Source organism: Homo sapiens, chromosome 19 (genome assembly GCF_000001405.40).
Source record: "Homo sapiens chromosome 19, GRCh38.p14 Primary Assembly".
In the NCBI taxonomy this organism is placed as follows: domain Eukaryota; kingdom Metazoa; phylum Chordata; class Mammalia; order Primates; family Hominidae; genus Homo; species Homo sapiens.
The window spans coordinates 30,525,887-30,547,098 of record NC_000019.10 but is presented as its reverse complement, the minus strand read 5'-3'; the positions used below and the strand labels follow the sequence as shown (position 1 = coordinate 30,547,098).

Genomic DNA, 21,212 nt, shown 5'->3' with positions numbered 1-21,212 from the left:
AAATGTGTAATTTACCTATAATAAGCGCTTTCTAGAGAATAAAAATAGCTTTAAAGAGTGTTTTAAAACATATAAGATAATTTTCATGAATTAAATATTTATTTAAATTCAACACCCCCAACTTCTATTGTTCTTTCCACGGTGGAAAAAGATACCAGAAGAGACAACTTACATTTGCTGGCATTGTGGGATAGAGAAGGGGAAGAAGGTAAACGACTGCAGATTTAAATATATTCCAAGAATTTGTTAGCAATCCCAGGTCTTTTCCAGACTTTGCAATCAAAAGGCTCTCTGGAAGGAATGGGGACTGTGACAGTCCCCGCTCTCTTATTCACAATGGTGCCCTGTCAATATCCACAATTATTTCTTCCAGGAACCTCAACTATTCCCCCTCCCCTTCCTCTGTTCTATTGTAAAATAGACTGATCTAAAAAGTAACAACAAATCGTCAGTGAATGGTGTCTTCTGAAGACATTTCACTGTGTCTAGTCTCAGCGGAAGGCATGAGTCCCAGTTCTCCAGGCACAGGGCATTTGGGGGCGTGGACTTTGTGAGCAAGAGGGCCACCAGCCTGGTTCTGAGCAGGAGATGCCATGTCATCTCCAGATCACGTGCCAGAACCGTGGTTACCCTGCCTGCCTTATCAGAACAAGGGTGCCAGTTGCTATGAGCAGCTGAGATCTCTCCTGGACACTTTTTCAGAGGTGGCCCTTAGGTCTAGGAAGGGAACCCAGCAGGGAATCTGTTTCTCTAAACGTAAAGGTCACAGTCATCTCTAGCTAGACCAATGACAGGAATCTAGGAGGAAGTCTCTATCCCCTTTGGGGTAAAGGCACAGAGAATTTCAGGCAGTAATTTCCCCCTTCTTGGAGTCAGTCCCAGGTTAGACTCAGACTCATTGAGCTACTGCTATGTAGACATCCCATCGCAGGCCAGGCTGGGATGGGGCACTTCTGGGCAGCAGGATGTCATGGCTGATTCAGCTTATCTGGAAGCCCAGTGATCAGGTGTAACAGAGGCAGTCCCCGAAACTTAGAGGGGTTGTGATGGGGCCCACAGCAGGCAAGCCTACCTAGAAACTCAAGATCCTGCCCTACGAGTGAGAGCAAGCCCTGCGGGAGGGCCAGGCGATGAAAGCCTGCAGAGGTGAGGCCCGCAGGTGCCTGGTGGGACTCAGGCTGTGTTTTAGAAATGCACCTGGAAATGATTATGTGCATCTGGCAGGCAAAGGGGCCATAGAGAAAGCACGGGCATTCATTAGCGGAGCTAAAGAGGGGGAAGGTGGACTTTCCTCTCAAGCCTGGGAATGTGGAGGGCTGCCTTTCTGGGTGGGGACTGTGGGGATGCACAGAGGATGTGTGTGTCTATTTCCAATGGATACATGTTTGAAAGGCACACAGGAGGCCAAGCGCAGTGGCTCACACCTGTAATCCCAGTACTTTGGGAGGCCGAGGCAAGAGGATCACAAGGTCAGGAGATCGAGACCATCCTGGCTAACATGATGAAACCCCGTCTCTACTAAAAATACAAACAATTAGCCGGGCGTGGTGGTGGGTGCCTGTAGTCCCAGCTACTTGGGAGGCTGAGGCAGGAGAATGGCGTAAACCCGGGAGGCGGAGCTTGCAGTGAGCCGAGATGGCGCCACTGCACTCCAGCCTGGGCGACAGAGCAAGACTCCATCTCAAAAAAAAAAAAAAAAAAAAAAAAAAAAAAGACATATGGGAGCGGGTAGTACTTAAACTGTATTGTGCATTAGAACCACCAGGGGAGTGTGGTAAGACACCAGTTCTGGCCCTAAGGCACAGCAGTTCTGATTCCCTGGGTCTGGGGTCGGCGCAGAAGTTGGCCTTGTAAGCGTCCCTATGATTCTGGTGCAGACATGTAAAGACAATCCCTTGAAAAACCATCCTGGAATTGCCTTGGGGGCTTGATGAAGTGCTGATACCTGGTCCCACCTCCCCACATTCTGAGTTAATTGGCCAAAGATGCAAACTTGGTTTCGGGATCTTTCGGGACTTTCCCAGGTGGCCCTCTGTGGATCCTGAGTGGGGAACCATTGTAGGCAGCCTTCCTTGGAAGTGCCTTTGAAGTGGGAACCATGAATGGTTTAGCAGGGAAGACAGTCTAGACCTCAGGAGGTATTTGAGAATCTGGACTAGGGACTGGACACCCACGCTACTCTGAATTCCACTGGACACAGAATCCTGGTCTTGGGACTTTTTCTTCCTCAACCTGTAATAAGACATGTTGAAGCACATGTTCTGTGGGGTCTCACGCCAATCCTAAGCTCGTTTAGGAGTAAACTAAGTCTCCTGAATAGAGCCAGTGCTACTTGTGCACATACTTGTCACCCACTGACTCAGAAACCTTCAGTTTGATTCACACACATTTTTTTGATGGAGTGAACCAATGGATGAATGAATAAACACCTGAAACCTCCCTTCTTGACCCTGGAAACTGAGTAAAGACCAAAGAGGTAGGTTCTCTGCTCTCATGGCTTTTGGAGGAGACATATCATATAGCAGGCTAGCAGAGTTCACGCACACGCACTCTCACACTCACACACAGCATGCGAGTGCACAGGAAGATAGCATCCCTTCACTCCACCCACTGTCTTTAGAGTTCAAAATAGGCCTTGGCCCTCACTGCTCCAGAGAATAAAAGCCAGAGCTGAGAAACAAGAAAGGCTAATTCCTAGCATTGGAGTCTCCACGGGCCCAGGCCTGGTGAATTAGGGGCTGCTTCATGAGCTTTCAAGGGTTTTCTGAATGCACGTGCTATGCAAGGTTCTAGAAAGTTCTCCACCCATGCTTCCTCTGCCTTCTGCACTGGGATGAAAGGGCTGCATTGCTCTTTCTGTCCATTTCTCTATACAGTTCCACCTCCTGCCGGGTCGCTAAAGGGCTTGGTTTGGGTGGTTTCTTCCGATCATCCCAGTTCCTCAGTTAAGTGCTCCAGGTGGGCACGCTGTTCCAGGGGATAAACCCTTCCCCTTTGGACTTATGTTCACAAAGAAACAAGCTCAATTTTAATTTCCTCGTAATCGCTAAATGATTGGAAGAACCACCCCTGCCCTCTATCTCAAAGCCCTCGCTTCCCTTTCCGGGCTTCCTATCCAACAAGGGGCACAGGGGAAGGCTTTGGAGATGAAAGTGAGCCCCGGCCAGGGCATGTTTCTAGCCAGGCACACCCAGAGGTTGAGCTGTGAACCTCCTTAGAGCCCCAGCAGCCCCAGGGTCTTGTGCTCCACTGGAAACATCCCAGCTGTTTCCCAGGCATTCTTTCCTCAGAGGGCCCATTTCAGAGTGCTCAGGAGGCAAACTACTTACAACGTTGGCCTAGACGGGGTGGGGCAGCAACCACAAGGAGAGGCCTAACAGCACATTTCACAGGCTCCGGGGTGCGGTCTACATCTGCTCTTTCATTTGGCCGGCACAGGCAGATGCTGAGTCTACCTGAGCTGAGAACCGCTTCCCAGCCAAGGCCTCTGCATCTGGATGTGCTCTTCTACCCAAGCGCTCTGGGCTAACTCTAGCAAATCCCAGGCCTCCGGACATGGCCAGATCCATGCCAAAAGAGCCAGGCATTGGGCCTGCCTAGCCCTGCCCAACCAAGGCTGGACTCTGCCTGAGACTCAGGTCTGCATTGCCTGGGCAGCCCCATGGTACAGGCAGCCCCAGACCCTGCCAGCAGCTCTGTCTAGTTGAGTGATTGGCCACTTAGGCCATAAATGAGTCCCATCTACTGAGGGGACCACTCAGGCTGCCTCCCAAGGTTTCCAGGGGGTCAAGAGTCCTATGGTGACCTCCATGATGTTTGTGGTTCATTGCTTTGTGTTTATCTGTTATATGTGCCACACACTTGCATGCAGGCAGAACCACACAGATCAGATGAGTATGCAAAACAGCCGTTCTCTCCTGGAGCACAGTGTCACTCAACTCTAACCAACTGTGGGCACTAGAACCTTTGATTTTCCAAGAAAAGTCTCGGCCAGGCATGGTGGCTCAGGCCTGTAACCCTAGCACTTTGGGAGGCCAGGCAGGAAGATCACTTGGGCCCAGGAGTTTAAGACCAGCATGGGCAACACAGGGAGACCTCGTTTCTACAAAAAATTTAAAAATTAAGCAGGTGTGGTGTCACACACCTGTGGTCTAAGCTACTTGGGAGGCTGAGGCAGGAGGATCGCTTGAGTCCAGGAGTTGGAGGCTGCAATGAGCTATGATTGCACCACTGCACACCAACCTGGGGGATAGAGTGAGACCCTGTCTCTAGAAAAAAGAAAAGTGTCATATCTATGAGGTTTCTGTGTGCAGTATCTTAATTTTTAAATATTAGTACCTATCTCAAAACTTTTCAAACACTGAAGGGTCACAGTGCTCTATTTTACAGATGGGGTCTGGAGCAGGCAGTCATTGTGAAATGTGCAGAATGGGGCTCTTTGCCCACTAAAGGAAGCAGCTACGAACACTGGTAGCCTTCTGCGGGGAAACCTCTCACTATATTTTAAGGAGTAAGATGTGGGCCCAAACAATGAATTTCTAGAAAGAAGAGTTTTGCTAGAAAAGGCATAATGAAATTAAAAGGCCGCAGTTCATCATTCCAATTGATTAATGAAATTATTGGCACTGTCGTACAGTAAGCCAGCTTCCCACTGACACATGGCATAAGATATAGATTTAGCTTTAGAATATCATTGATAACCTCTCCCAAGTCACTGTATCATCAATTTCTAGAAATATACGACCAGGTGGTTTAATTAGTTCACGGTACCTATTTTTACATGCTCATATCTTTTATAATTCTGAGCCTCTACTTTGCTGTTGATATGTCAAAGGAACCCTCACTGTTCCAGGGAGTTATTCTAGAGCTATTTAGAGCAAGTTCCCACCAGCACCTCTCCAAAAATAACAGGTGGATTCATATTCTCTTTGGAAACCATTTTAAGGTTTAAGATGTGATTCATGCTTCTCGTTTTTTTATTTTGTTTTTGTTTTTTTTGCTAAATCTCCAAAAGTGTTTCACTTTTAAGTTGAGCAACTGAATATTTTCCTGTATTTGCATCCTCAATTTGATATTTATTTAGTCCTTCTCCATCTCTTCACTTAGTTAACACCAGGAGAGATAAATATGGTGGTGTCTTTGCAGCAAAGCTTCAGTACATTAATATAAATTGTACACTAATTCCCCCAAAGCATATATATGTTGTAAACCTGAAGACTTTTCACACAGCTGCTTATTGCTAAACAGTGCCTTGTCCAGAAGGGGACAATCTGTGTCTCTAATTGCTGTCACTGAAGCCCAGATTCATTATGTGACTTTCCCATTAAAATGTGAGCATTAATTTGTATAATGAAATATCACCCACTGCAGTGTTCATTAGCCATGCCCTACTGTATACAGCACATTGTTAGCTACCTAGAAACTGTAGTTAATTTCACTAATGGATATTTCCCTACTTAGTGTTTGGTAGGAAATTTATACTGTAACATTACCTCTTCAACTTTTAAGGAAATTTAAATTCAATCAATTATTTTCAACAAAAGTTTAGGATGTCATTAAGGCAGGAAAAGCAAGGATAGGGAACAGAGGAGGAATAAACCGGGCTTTTAGTTCCTCTCAGATATAGAAAAATGATGGAATTTTAATTCAAAACAAAAAGAAAAAAAGACTTATCTCCTTTTGGAGATTTTTTTTTTTTTTTCATCATTACTCAGGTGGTTGGTCCCCCACTAACGGCAAAAATGCATGCTCTCTTTTTGGAAAAGGAAATGAGAAGAACACCCATTTTAACTGATTCCTTTTTGAAAATGTATGCAAAGTGCTTTTATATTTACTCAGTGTGTGAAAACAGCCTAGATACCTTACATAGAAGCATCAAATGTAAGAGACGTAGACACCAGCCATAAGGCACCTGGATGGGGCCGGCTGGAAGTTTCATTTCCACCCATGTTTATGTACCAGCCACTGCTCGGGAAGCACTTTGAAGATGAAAGGTGGTTTCCACCATAGCATGAGTTTATCAGCTCTGTGATGCTGGAAGTGATTCCACTCCCACTCACCCCCACCCCGTTTCCATCCCAGGAGGTCAGAGCGCCTCCACATGCCACAGTGGCCATGCCTCACCCCTAACCTCGCTGTGCTAGTGGGGAAACCCAAGCACGTGGGGCCAAGGAAGCCTGGCCTGGGGCCAGTCTGAGGGAGGGGTCAAGGAGGAGCTGGGGTGCACAGTACTTCCCTTTTAAATTCCCTGGAGGCTGCGCCAACACCACTTGTGAGTACAAGTCACTTCTTTCCTTCCTGTTGGGTATGGTGTGGACACACACTGTCAAAGAAATGTTGCATTAATTCCCTAAAACAAGCCAGAAATTCACTCAGAAAAGTAAAAAGTAGCAATACAATGCAGCGGTGAAGAGAATGAGATTCTGAATTAGGCAGATCTGATTATAACCTTTAATCCAAGCCTGGACAACTCCGGGATGGGATAACTTCACCTCTCTGTCTCTGAGGCTCAGCGCCCTCCCCTGAAGCGGGGCAGGGGATGGAGCCTTGGTGACTGAGGTGCTGTAGGGATGAAGGAGCGAGTTAATGCAAAGTGTCTAGCACAGAGCCTGCATATGGGCGTGGATAGAACGTGGGAACTACCATCACTGTTATTGTGCCGTTACTCCATCCCTGCGGGCTGAGTTCTGTGTTCAGCCAGTTGCTGTCAGGCTTTGTAGTCACAAGGCAAGATAATGTCCAGGTCTCCCTCCCTACACCCGACTGGGTGTGCAGCCCTTTGGGGGCTGCAAGGGAGAACGCCCTCCCTTCCACAATCCTCCTTGGTCCTATAGGAAAGGGACAAGAATACAGGTGAGAGCCCAGCCAGCATCCAGGAGCTGTGCCGTGAAGACAGCAGCCAGGAGTTGGGGGGTGCCGGGCGTACCCTTCAGCCCAATGCTGAACCCCTCGTGACCACAGCTGAAATCCCTGGGAAACCACCACTGACTTCCCTGTGCGGATCCATTCCCACAAAGAGGTTCCCGACTCGGGGCTGGAACATGCGGCACATCAAAACCAGATTAATAAACCACTCACAGAACTCGAGAGGGAGAAGAAACTAATGAGATTTATTTTTAATTAGTCCCTGAACTTTCATGCCTCCAAGTTTTCACGAGTGAAGTTGCTTATTACATTTCTCTACAATGGTCATTCCTTGAGACAACAACCCCATCCCGAAAAACCCACACATGGGAGAGCCTCGGTAGGGAACCCAGCCAGGAGTCCCGCAGCCACGCATGAGGTGCTCACCCACCAGGGGGTCACGCCTCCCCCAGGCTTTCAGGGACCTGTCAGCATCTGCCTGCTTCCTGTACACACAAAACAGATACATCAGACCTTCCAGAGTACCCCCAGGCACCTGGCTTCCCAAGGTAGTGCACAGGGAGGGGACATGGAGGAAAAGAATGGCATGGGTGCATGGAGACCAATCCTGAAATGATTTGCCAACCTCTCAGGAGACTCTGGGGACATGCGCCCTCCCCATTGCATGTTACAACTAGATGTTTGCTGATGTATTTCTGTGATGGTTAATTTTTGTGTGTCAATTTGACTGGGCCACAGGGTGCCCAGATATTTGGTTAAGGATTCTTCTGGGTGTGTCCATGGGGGTGTTTCTGGATGAGATGAACGTTTGAATGGGTGGGCTGAGTAAAGAAGGTGGCCCTCTCCAATGTGGGTGCACCTTGTCCAATCCGTTGAAGGCATGAATAGAACAAAAGGCTGAGCAAGGGGGAGTGCACTCGCTTTGCCTGGCTGTCTTTCAGCTGGGACATTGATCTGCATTCTGGCTCAGACTTGAACTGGAATTTACACCATCAGCTCTCCTGAGTCTCCAGCTCACCAATTACAGATCTTGGATCTTAGGACTTCTCAGCCTCCATAATCACTTGAGCCAATTTCTTATAAATCTCCTGTGTGCGTGTGTGTGTGTGGGGGGGGTGCATATCTCCTTTTCTTTTCTTTTTCTTTTCTTTTCTTTCTTTCCTTTTCTTTTCTTTCCTTTCTTTCCTTTTATAGAGATGGGGTCTCACTATGTGGCCCAGGCTGGTCTTGAACTCCTGGGCTCAAACAATCCTCCCGCCTCGGCCTCCCAAAGTGCTGGGATTACAGGTATGAGCCACTGTGCCTGGCCATATATACATTTCCTATCGGTGCTGTTTCTCTGGAGAACCCTGACTGATGCAATCTCCTTTCTGAGCCTGCAATAATGGGCTCTGAATTTGAATCACAGACACTGTGCTGTAGAATAAAAATTGTCCATATCCAGTTATTGGACCCTAGTCTGCCCAGGGTAATGTCTCCATGAGGAGAGAAGTTCAGCCACCTCTGGGTCAAGCAGCCATCAACGTCTGCCCTGCCTGGAGCCAGAGTGAGGCAGCCTCCAGGATCTGATGGCCTTAGGGACTCCCGAGATCCTGCAGCAGCCTCCCCTTGGTCCCCTGAGGACCTGGCTGAAGCTTAGGGTGCATCAGAAACATCCTAGTGACCCATAGGCTCTCTCGGGCTCCCAGATGTTCAGAACAACCTGACTGGTGCATCTAGTCAGCACCTCTCCAACAAACAGGTGTTAGGAGAAGAGAAACAGTAATTGAGTTAATGCAGTGGGGAGAAAAAGGAGAGAGGTTTTATCCATTGATGTTACATGATCGAGACTTCCAATAAAGATGCAGTCGGACAGAAAAAATACAGAGAAGGTGCCATCTGATATCCCAATTAAAAATATATTTATATTACACGTTGGGTTTTTAAATGTGCTCATATGGGTCCATGGTTTAAAAACTTCAAAAAGATGGCATTTTGGAGTACATGTATTTTTGTTTTGTAATAAGACTGCTGTCCTCTGGCCATGTCATTTAGAAATACAAAAACTGTATGGTATTTGGAGCAAGGAGAGACACCAGGGCCAAAAGAGAGGCAGTCAGGGCCTCTCACCAACTTGAGTCCCACATGAAATCACTTATTAACAAATACGTTGATTGTGATTTTTAATTACTTGTGTAATCTACACTTTTACATTGTCATAATAGATGTTTATTTGGGTGATTTATAACATGTAACACTTTCTGTTCTATTCAAATGCACAAGTGTAAGCATTTTCCAGCTTCTTTGTTCTTAGATAAAAAGGTAATTGATCTTTATCTGGTTACCATTCTGCCTTTTACATACGGCGAATGCTGCTTCCGAGGGGTGGTGGAGGTGGTGTGATGTTTCCATGGCTTCTTTCATTTTCTCTCTGATTCTAGGAAGTTTCCAGAATGCCTCTGTCCATGGCCCTATGTTGTCTCTCTCAATGTCTCCGAAGAGTATTCCAAGGTTTGTGAAGCAGAAGTTCAGAAACATTAGTCTTTCTCAAGCTTGAAAACTGCGAAGAGCAATAACCATTTGCTCTCTCCCAGGTTATCCAGAACTTCTGTCAGCTTTGGTCCTAAGTTGCCTGGAAATATTCTGTGGAGTGTCTTCTCTTACCCCCCGGGAAGCTGACTGGTCTTGGGCCGACAGGGTTAGTGGAGCCCCTCGTTGAGAGGCACCGCCTTTCCTCACTGACTCTTACACCCTGCAAGGCTGACGTTACCCATGGAGAGTTACCACCTGGCTGGGAAATGTGGTCCAGGGTTCTGTGTCGACATGAAATACACAAGACAAGACATGCCTAGCCTGGTTTCCACACTCCTGCAGGCAGCTCAAGCATGGGTGCCCTGTGGACCACCTCCCGTATCCTGGCAGTCTGCGGGTCCCCACCCTGCCCAACCACCACCACAACCCTGGCTCCAATCTGGGGAGGAAAATGGACATTGGCATCATCTGAGAAAACCAGATGTCTGGGCTGACTGCCTTCGAGCCTGGTCACTTTCACGAATTGACGCAGGAATGCCTGGGTCAGCAAATACTTTCTGAGTGCCTACCTGGGCCAGGCTCTGTTCTAGGCTGGGGACACAGCTGGACAAACAGACACAGCCTTTGCTCTCAAGGAGTTCACAGTCTAGTGCATGGAGAGAAACAACAACGAAATACAAATGCATGGTGTGTCAGATGCTGTGAGCACTATGGAGAGAAGTGACACAGGGAAGGAAAGCGGTCTAGAAAGTCCTGGTGGGGCGGGGGGTCCACTGCCATGTGGGTGGGCCTCACAGAGAAGGGGGCATCAGAGCCAGACTCTGAAGGGGAAGCAGCAAGCCATGCAACTATCTGGCAGAGAAGTTCAAAGGGCAAAGACCCTGAGTTCAGAATGCAAGGCCCCCTCCCTGAACTCCCGGGGAAGAGGATCTTCCACTTTGTCTATGCCCAAGCAACCAGCACTTGCAGCCTGACTGTCAGGCTGTGGTTTCTGATAGGTTCCTGTGTTCCCTGGGGAAGGGGCCACTTTCCCTACAGCCCTTGACTCCTCTGCGCCACCTTGAACAATGCAGGGAAGACAGGAGGAGTCACTCACTTATTTGAGCATTTCTTCTGTCATTCAACCTTTCAGATAAATTCATCTGCCCCTACTGGGTGTAAAGTGCCCTTGCAGACCCTGGGGTTATAGAAATGACAGCAATTCAAAAGATAGACAATATTGCCACCTGTGCAAATCTTAGACTCTGTTTGGTGGGAGACAAATAAGCGATGGAGCCCAACAGGGTCATTTCTGAAATTGTTAAGTTTATAAAGAAGATAATTGCAGGGGATGTGAGGGCTGTTTTAGGTGGGATAGTCAGGGGCAGCCTCTCCGAATAGATCCCAGTAAAGCTAAGTCCCCAGGGACCACCTGGAGGAAGATTCCAGGTGGAGGGAGGGGCAGGAACACAGGTCCTGCAGCTGGAACAGGCATTCTGCATTGGAAGAACAGGGAGAATGCAGGTGGTGTTTCAGAAAGGTGCCAAGGATGAAGAAGGGGGCAGGATGGGGCCGGGGCAAGGCATGGGCAGGTCGCATGAGGCCTTTTGGGAGAGTGGTGGGACCTGGAGGACCATTTTAAAAGACACCTCTTTGGCCTGAGATGACTCCAAGAGAGGCATGCAGGATGAACAGGGCTGGTGACTCGGCCCATGGCCTCCTGTGCCCATCTGTCCTCAGGCTTCCCTCGGTGTCAGGGAGATTTGTGGGGACCAGGTGAGGCACCAGGTGAGGGGTTTCTTGTCTCCCCCCACGCGATGCCCATGCAGCCCGCGTGCACTCAATATTCCTGTGCAACCCAGAGCCTTATTGATTCCTTGGGAAATAAACCACAATTATTTTTGAAAATAGATGGCATATTTGTCTAGCCTCTGAAGCAGCTCATACTCCAATAGATAAAGTGTCAGGAGGAAAATCAAAGAAAATGGAAGTGTCCATATCTCCGATAGATTTTTTTTTTTATATTGGCAATGTGCAAGCAACAAGCAGAAAGCTAAAAAGGACGGTGACTGAGGGACACACAGAACTCCCTGTTGCCAGCCAGTCCTCGTCCAGTATGACGCCAAAACATGAGAAATGGCCAGAGGGGTGCAGCAGCCACTTGCCCCCCTTTGCCTAAGAGCATCTCAATTTCTTCTTTGAGGAGATACAGGGAAGAGTCACTTTTCCACCACGCCACATGGAGTGACGAGGATGGACTCCAGCTGCCCTGTCCCAGGTCTGGGCATGTAACACAGGCTGGGCTAAAGCCTATTCTACCTGGATGCTTGGGGAAGTGGCTTCATTCCCTTCTGCACTTAGGAAGGTTTGAGCTGAGACCCCATCACTGACACCTGGGAGACTCCTGGTTCATACAGGCGCCTGGGGAGGGACTCCTTCAATACAGCAGAAGGAAACCATTAGCAAAACGCCCTAGAGGCTCAGACGCGACCCAGTTATCCCAGGCCAGGACCATCCAAGTCTACATTTACGAGTCCCTGAGTCATTTGCGAGGTGAATGTTAGTTAAGTGACGAATCAGGAAATGAGGGCCGCTTCTGAGCCATACAATGGTGGCTAGACAGGCCCAGGGAGAACCTTCCAGAGTTAGTGACCCACACAGCTGTGGACCTGGGCCAGAAAGCAGGCAGGACGGGGACCTCCTCCTTCTCTGGGCTGTGCCCCTGGATGCACTCAGACTTCTCACCTGTGTGTATCCTCAGGTGCACCTTAAGGTGATGGGATGTCCGGAAAGTTTTCCCACAGTACGGGCAGTCCTTCATGGCCGAGCCCAGGCTTCTGTCGCGAAGCAGCGCTGGTTGCTGGACGCCGGCAGATCTCCCAGCCTCCTCGCCAATGTCTGCAGCGAAGGAGAAACGTTCTCACATCACTTCAGCACATGTCAGGAGTTGTTCGCACCAAAACTGCTAACACCACACAAAGTTAAACATGTCAATACTACACCTGTCTATTTCATTCTTTAAATCTGACAGAATGCTGACAATTCATGTATTTTCTTGTTATTCTCTTAAATTATTTCATCTTTCCTATCACCATTTTAAGCAGCATATGGTACCTTTATATTGAACTGAATTAAACAAGAAAAGAAACAGCTGTGTCAGCAGCTGGTTTGATTTCTTCTTTTGCTTAGTTCCTATTAAATATTTTTTTCAAAAGTTTAAAAATGTTGGTGTTTGTTGAATCTGATTAATTTATAATATGGACTCACTGTAGAGTTCACTATGGGACTGAAATCATATTTGCATTATAGCAAGCAACAAATTAAAAAAAATGTGTGTCAGCTGAGTCCCTAAGACATGCAGACATATGGCTATTTTGGGACAGGAAAGAAAATTATCCAAAACTGATCATTTCTTCCTTGTAGAGTCTTGTATCCATCACTGGCTGGTGTAATCTCATGAAAGGGAGAAGAAAAAGTATGGAAATGTGATTCCACAATTAGCCCATGATAAACATATAGTGACATATTCAAAGTCATATGCAGAGACTCAGCTGCAAAACTCCCATAAACTTACAGCACTGCAGACACATCTTTTTGCAGTGACTTGAGAACTTCCTCTGTCAAGTATCGATACAAATTTTCCTTCCTGCTGTTATTTGTTATGTAACCCAAACCATTAGAAAACGGAATAAAATTTACATATGGCTGCCTTCTGCAAAGAAATTGTGGGACATAATAGTAAATAAAACTGGAAAAATGTCTAGTGGTTGGAGGATATGTTATTGCAGCCCCCGAGGCCTGACATCACACTGCCAAAGAGGTCACAATTGGGGAATCGAGGAGGAGAAGCAAGAGAACCTTCTCTGGGCTCACTTTTCTTCCAGAATCATGGACATCCCCACAGAGCAGGAGCCTGAAGGCCTGGCACAGAATCTAAGCTCCTGAGGATAGCGGGGTGATCCTCACCGTAGCTTCCAGCCCACCCTCTAGGCCTCATGGTAAATCCCACTAGGAGAACAAGGGAACCTTCTGGGATAATGAGATCTGCGGGTTCTGCAGAGATCACAATAAATAAGATCTGTGCCTTCCAAGCAATGGAAAATGCAAACTGCTTTTATTCCTCAACGTCTGTTCCTGGTGTTCTCTGCTAACAGCCAAAAGCGGCAGACTTGTAGACCATGAGAAAGATGAAGGACAACACATTTAATTCTTTTTTTTTTTTTTTGAGACAGCGTCTCATTTTGTCACCCAAGCTAGAGTGCAGTGGCACAATCACAGCTTGTTGCAACTTCAAACTCCTGGGCACAAGGGATCCTCCTGCCTTAGCTTCCCAAGTAGCTGGGATTACAGGTGCAGGCCACCATGCCTTGCTAAGTTTCTATTTTTTGCACAGACAGGGTCTTGCTATCTTGCCCAGGCTGGTCTTGAACTCCTGGCCTCAAGCAATCTTTCCGCCTCAGCCTCCCAAAGAGCTAGGATTATAGGCATAAGCCACTACACTGGGTCCGAGACATTTAATTCTTATTTGAGTATTCGCTCTAAGCAACTGTGGAAACTCTTGGCTTGGAGCATTCTCTCTGCAGTTGGACTGTGTACGACCATATCATCACCCTGGCACAGTTATTTATATTTGAAATCTCACTTTAATCCTATTCTCCCCAACTCTTCTAACCATCATTGGAGAGCTATTCAAAGGGTATAATTACCTAGCTTTTTTTTCCTATAATTTTGCACAAGTAGGAAGTTAGGCTCATCCACATCTAGAACTCAAAGTCACTCCACCAAGCCCTAGATTGTGGTTGCCCAAATGAATGTGGAAAGGCCCCCAAAGATGGCTTATTGATCAGGGCAAATGGACACAAGAGAGTGTTGCAAAGTCACCATCAGACAAATGCTCTACATATGGTCACAGTGGCTCTATGTCCTGCAGGTTGAATCTACAAGGAGCTGCTGCCAGAAGGAGTGATGGCTAGATGTCATTTCCAGCCAACCACATACCCTAGCTTTAGACAGTGGCAAGGCCATCTCCTTCTACCCTTCTCCCACTCCCACCCACCCCAACCCTGAGCATGCTGCATTTGCCCTCCCGGCCTCCCTCAGCTTCCCTTTTGCTGGAATCATGAAGGTCAGCTTCAAATAATGATGAGCCTGATTAAAATTCTGCCCAAGTGCTCCTGGCAACATAGTCGAGATACCTAATTTAAGTTAGGAGGCCAATCACTGTTGATTTGAATTATAAGCAGGACTAAGGTGTCCTGGATGTTGGCTTCAGGATGAAGGTAGGCAGGGGCAGGTTTCAGAAGTGTAATTATTGGGCCGGGCATGGTGGCTTATGTCTGTAATCCCAACACTTTGGGAGGCTGAGGCGGGTGGATCATTTGAGGTCAGGAGCTCAAGACTAGCCTGGCCAACAGGGTGAAACCCCATCCCTACTAAAAATACAAAAACTAGCCAGGTGGTAGTGATGTGTGCTTGTAATCCCAGCTACTCGGGAGGCTGAAGCAGGAGAATCGCTTGAGCCTGGGAGGTGGAGGTTGCGGTGAGCTGAGATCGCACCACCATACTCCAGCCTGGGCAACAGAGTGAGACTCTGTCTCAAAATATGAAAAATAAAAAAAAAAAGAAGGGTAATTCCTGCGGGGCCTCCTGTGGCATGCTCTGGACCTTCCCATAAAGCTTCTTCCAGAGGAGCCCGCCAGAGAGCAGTAGCAAGGAGCCACTGTGGAATAAAGCTGCAGGAGAATGTCCTCATGTTCTCTTATAAGGGGGAACTAAGCATTGGGTACCATGGACACAGAGGTGGGGACAATAGACACTGGAGGCCAGGTGTGGTGGTGCACACCTGTAATCCTGGCACTTTGGGACACCGAGGTGGGTAGATCACTTGAGGTCAGGAGTTCCAGACCAGCCTGGGCAACATGGCAAAACCATGGCAAAACTAAAAATACAAAAATTAGCTGGGTGTGGTGGGGCATGCCTGTAGTCCCAGCTACCGGGGAGGCTGAGGCACAAGAATTGCTTGAACTCGAGAGGTCGAGGCTGCAATGAGCCGGGATCACGCCACTGCACTCCAGCCTGGGTAACACAGCAAGACCCTGTCTCAAAAAAATATATATGGACACTGGGGATTCCAAGGGCAGGGGAGGTAGGGAGGGGAGCAAGGTTGAAAAATTACCTATCGACCGCTATGCTCACTACTTAGACAGCAAGATCATTAGAAGTTCAAACCTCAGCATCACGCAATATACTCATGCCACACACCTGCACATGTACCCCCTGAATCTTCAAAAAAAAAAAAATCACAAAAAAGAAGACACTGCAGGAGAAATGAGAGAGGGCATATTTCTCCTGGAGCTTTTGGGAAGGACTTGCCCAGGCCACATTACAGATAAAAATAGCGATACGGCCGCCCTGCACTGTGGAACATTTTGCAGAACTTGAGGATGAGCCCTGCCTCACTATACATCACTCTAAGTGATGGCCTGTATCTGTTTTCCTTTTATCTTTCTATCTTGGATATGTGTGGCCCAATAAAAAGAATAAATTTGTAAGATAAACAGTTTTCTTTGCAGATTTAAGAGTCTAATTATTACTTCACAAAGAAAAGGGATTTTTTTTGGAGGGCCAGAAGGCCTATGGCATTTATGGTTAGACTAATCCTACTGGAAAATCATGCTGAGAGAAGATGAAGGGCTATCGTGGGTGGTCCCAGGAAGTGTCCAGAGAGGCTGAAAGCCAAGCACAGTGAAGGCTGGGGGAGCAAGTGCTGGCAGGACACCCGCAGGGCACTGTGCGTGAGCCCCAGCCTGTGCCAGGATGGGTGCTGGTGAGGATGTGTGTGCTGAACTTGGCCCAACCCCAGCAAGAACCTGAGAGTGTCATTCAGAGGGGAACGTGCATCTGCTCTTGGATTCCTTCTCTACCCCGAGTATAAAAGCACTGGCGTCTGCCCCTCTGCAAACTGCAGGAGGGAGTCCCATCACTTCTCCTGGCACCCCATAACATCAGGTGGAGAAAGCAGTCACTGGTTTATGTTGCAGACAGACCAGCCCTTTCCTAGCCACTCCAGGAAGCAGGCAGTAGAAAGACAGAGGTATTGGCTGGGCATGGTGGCTCACACCTGTAATCCCAGAACTTTGGGAGGCCGAGGCCAGCAGATCATCTGAGGTCAGGAGTTTGAGACGAGCCTGGCCAACATGGTAAAACGCCATTTCTACTAAAAATACAAAAATTAGCCAGGCATGATGGTGCGTGCCTGTAATCCCAGCTACTTGGGAGACTGAGGCAGGAGAATTGCTTGAACCTGGGAGGCAGAGGTTGAAGTGAGCTGAGATCATACTGCTGCACTCCAGCCTGGGCAACAAGAGCGAAACTCCATCTCAAAAACAACAACAACAACAACAACAACAACAAAAAGACAGAGAGAGAGGTATTACAAAAATTGCATCTGTGATCCTTTGTTAAACCTTTCGTGCATTGGTTTGAGATTTATTTAATTTTTTAATTTTCTTTTCCTCTAACCAGTGGTATTCCTTCCCTCCTATGTGACACTTTCTCTAATGTGCTGGGTAGACTGAAGGCAGACATGTGGACAGAGGTCAGCCTCAACGCTGCCATCTGTTCCTCCCTGCTCATCTGTGAAATGACAGACCCCTGCCAGCTCCTAGAGACTGAGATGTCCCTGGAGGGGACCTTTGGCTGCAGGCGGGGAGGCCCTCTCTTGCCTAATGCACCCTCAGCCTGGGTGTGCTCTGGGCTCCCACTTGATGGAGAAACAGCTGAGAAACAGCTCCTGTGGCCCTTGTTTCTTTTCTTGACTCCACTGAATAATATGGGATTATTTCTTCAGATGTGGGTGCCTTGCATGGGTACAACGAATAATATTCCAGGCAGACACAGGCCATATTTGCAACCCTCCTAGACTGTAGCCAAGAGCAAATGTGTTGAAGTAGGCATCAAAAGCTCTGCCAGCTTTCTCCTCTGCCCGTGCCTACAAGCTGAAAGTGACTTGCTAAAGAAAAAGGAGGTGGATCCAAGTTTTTTAAAGGTCTGTTACCAGGAACAAGGAGACATCAGGCAACAGACCTTCCTAATTTTGTCTTCTCAAGGTCAGCAATGTTGTCTACATGCCCATTCGCTTGTTCTTATCCTCCGAGTCTATAGCAAGGTTGGCCTCGATCAAGGTGACATGAAGGTGCATGCTTTCCCCAAGTATTCAGAGGAGGGGATGTGGGCTGAAGGAGTTGGGGGGATTAAAATGGCTACGGATCATTTTAGAATCCTCATCATCCACTGGACCACAAAGCGGCAGTACCAGTTAGACAAAGAAACGGATGCTCAGAAAGACAAACAACTTCTCAAAAGTTAAAGCCCCGATACTTAGAAAACACTGTCACCAGCTGTCTGAAACCACCCCTGAGGTTGGCTATCTTGCTGTATACAAACATGATTTGAATGGATGGGTGCCTCAACACACACTTAACCTTATTTATATATAATATGTTTGGGATATTAAAACTTTGTTTATAAAATGATTTTGTACTTGAAGGGTAGATTTCCCCCTAGATTCTCTCTAAACACTGAACTTCTTTGTATAATAAAATAGCGTTGTTTTCCAAAAATGCTGACTCAGGCGTTAGGAGGCAGAATCTTTTCCTCCCGGGTCCCTAATATCCAACTATCCCAAGCAAGTCCCTTCACCCCTCCCCTCGCCCTTGGTTCCCATCTGACCCACGAGGACTAGACCTCCGGGTCCCGCCATGCTGAAAGAGCTCCAAGCCTATCCCAGGCTGTCTCTGCCCGCTGCTTTTTTTTTTTTTTGGCCTCTCATTCTCCCCGCTGACCCCACCCTACAGCCAAAGAAGATACTGATGTTGGGTCTTAAAGAGGCGAGAAGAAATGACTGTAAAAAGGACGGCAAATGGTTGCTAACTAGTCCCTGGACCCCTACGTATCCCAACTTCTCTTGCACTAAGCTGAGGACAGGTGGTCAGTTTTGGCCAACAGATGAAGGAAATGAAGACAGAGTGTGCCTGCACCTCCTCCGCCCTCTCCTCCTGGGCCACAGTGACCTTGCAACGCAAAGGTTGAGACAACAGAATCACAAAATAGAGGGCACCTGGGTCACTGAGTCACCAGATGGATGACAGCTGACCCACATCACACTTTGCATGAATGAGAAACAAATCCTGGTTATATTAAGCCATAGAGATGTTGGGGGTAGCCATTGTGGGAAAAGGTCAGAAATTGACTAAGAAGAGTCAATCCTCTACTGGTGAAGTCTTCTGGGTTTATATCCAATCTTCCAGGGAGTCCAATTAACTCACAGAATGAAAGGGAGAAGCCAGAGATAGAAACCAAAAGAGGCAGAGTGAGAGGACAAAGAGAAAGGAAAGAATGACTTCTTCTTATATTGCATGTGGATTCTTGGTTCTCGCTTCATCCCAACTCGCTGGCAGCCTTACCCTTCAGATGCCCAGAAGTACATTTTGGAAAGACTTCCATTAAAAAAAATTATAATGATGATGCTGTTGGCAATGATGATGGTGACTGGAGAGTTACCCCAGCAAGCACGCATGGGTAAGGTGACTAACTCTGTGAACACCCTGGCGCTTACTACGTTTATGGCATCAAATGCCATGATATTTTAATTTCTATGGAGCTTCTAGTATAACAGTAAATACATTTTCCCAGATGAGTTGTCAGTTAATTCTGCAAGTATGCTTTGTGCAAAGAACGTCTCAAAATCACAGCTCTCACTTCATTAATGAAGAAAAAAAACTATTTGTGGAGTCTAAGGGGTGAAGAAGCAGTTCAGTGGCACAACAACAACAAAAAAATCACATCTTTCTTAATGTCCTTGCCCACGTATGCCAGGGCTTGAAGATCTTTTCAGGAGCAAGATAATACCGACACCTTGGGGAAAGTCCAAAGGAATGTATAGCTACTGTTAAAAGCTTAACACTTCCCTTATTTTGAAAGCTTTAATAGACTCAAATAAAGCAATCACAACTGGCCCTTTTATTTTTTTTAATTATTTAAAATTAATGGTATGCATGAAAATTATAACATTACTGTAAACAATTCTACCTAACTCTTAGAAGACATAACTCATGCCTCGGGTCAGTATCAACTTGGTGTCTCTGTGGTTGCATCAGAGTGCTCAATTTTATGGTGGCCATATATAGTCATGTTAAACAGTTAAGTATTCTTATGGATTGGTGAAAGTATTTGTTTAAATAAAGAGCTATTTTAGAAAACGATGTCCACTTGTGAGGAGGCAACAGGCAGCTTGCTCGTGGGTTATTACCAACGGGGTCGGGATTGGACCTCACTGGTGAGCCCTGGGACACGTGAGATAGAGAGGTGGCATGTTTTCCATGTTGCCATGTCTCACCCTCTACCCAAACTCAAAACTGGGCAGAGTTCCATTTGCTGGTGGCAAGAGACGATTTCTGGAATTGGGGAAGTAGGTCATCAAAAGGCTAATTTCTTAAAAAAAAAAAAAAAAAAAAAAAAAAAAAAAGGAGGCTGGGTGTGGTGGATCACACCTGTAATCCCAGCACTTTGGGAGGCTGAGGTGGGCAGACCACAAGGTCAGGAGTTCGAGACCAACCTGGCCAATATGGTGAAACCCCATCTCTACTAAGAATACAAAAATTAGCCAGGTGTGGTGGCAGGCACCTGTAGTCCCGGCTATTCGGGAGGCTGAGATAAGAGAATCGCTTGAACCCAGGAGGCGGAGGCTGCAGCGAGCCGAGTTCACACCACTGCACTCCAGCCTGGGTGACAGAGTGAAAATCCGTCTCAAAAAAAGAAAAAGGGAGAAATATAAGACACTAGGATTTCAAATACCTTCTCTAAAGCAACATTTTGATGAGTTAAGTGAAAATGAATCAGAAACACATGGATTACATTTTCCTTAAAATATACCAGGGCTTCAAGATCAAGAACTGTGGGCCAAATGTGTTTCTGGTTTTCCCAAGCCCTGAACCCGTTCTTTTTTTTTTTTTTTTTTTTTTGAGACGGAGTCTCGCTCTGTCGCCCAGGCTGGAGTGCAGTGGCGCAATCTCGGCTCACTGCAAGCTCCGCCTCCCGGGTTCACGCCATTCTCCTGCCTCAGCCTCCCAAGTAGCTGGGACTACAGGCGCCCGCCACTACGCCCGGCTAATTTTTTGTATTTTTAGTAGAGACGGGGTTTCACCGTTTTAGCCGGGATGGTCTCGATCTCCTGACCTCGTGATCCGCCCGCCTCGGCCTCCCAAAGTGCTGGGATTACAGGCGTGAGCCACCGCGCCCGGCCCCTGAACCTGTTCTTAATTGTTGGTGGAGTCTGTGAAACTCCCTGCTGGGGATTAGGCCACCCATGGGGTCTCTGCCCTCTGGCACCATGTGATGCTGCTGTGACAACATCCCCTGTCATCCGCAGACCGCCACATCTTGCCAAGGCCCCAAGGGGTGGCTATGGGCTGGCTGTGGGCAGGTACTCTCAGTCCCCAGGCTAGAGACTGCAACCCTGGATGCAGCGGGCAAGGTTTGGGATTCACAGAATTGACCTGGGACAAGACATCAGGTGTGACATGTCTCTTTGGGCTCTGCACACCTGTCTCTTCTCTGTGGGACAGGGACTGTGGGCTGGAGCCCACCCCAGAGACCATTCGTGTCGCTGAGCAGGGTCACCTAAGAACCTGGCCTTGGTGAGAAGACCCAGGCAGGAGAATGAGTCTGAGAGATTCAGCCCAGGCCGCTGCCATCTCCTGGGAACAGCCTCTGGTTGGGGGCAGGGCAGGGACCAGCTACTCATTTCATTGCTTTTTAGAATAACCTCCAGCTGTGTCTCAATATGTCCAGGTGGCCTC

At 47.5% G+C, this 21,212-nt stretch overlaps 1 protein-coding gene across 47 annotated transcripts in view; it reads right to left on the bottom strand.

Annotated features, from left to right (window-relative positions):
* Window positions 1-21,212, bottom strand: part of ZNF536 (zinc finger protein 536) — a 487,995-nt gene that overhangs the window by 166,488 nt on the left and 300,295 nt on the right. For 27 of the 47 annotated variants that reach the window (XM_047439770.1, NM_001376110.1, XM_047439779.1 and 24 more), the window contains one exon: window positions 12,100-12,252. In XM_047439770.1, coding sequence (XP_047295726.1) covers window positions 12,100-12,252 — 153 coding nt within the window. Of the gene's footprint in view, window positions 1-6,235; window positions 6,323-12,099; window positions 12,253-21,212 lie in introns of all 47 variants that reach the window. The other 20 variants (XM_011527554.3, XM_047439763.1, XM_017027532.2 and 17 more) reach the window with 1 other exon arrangement.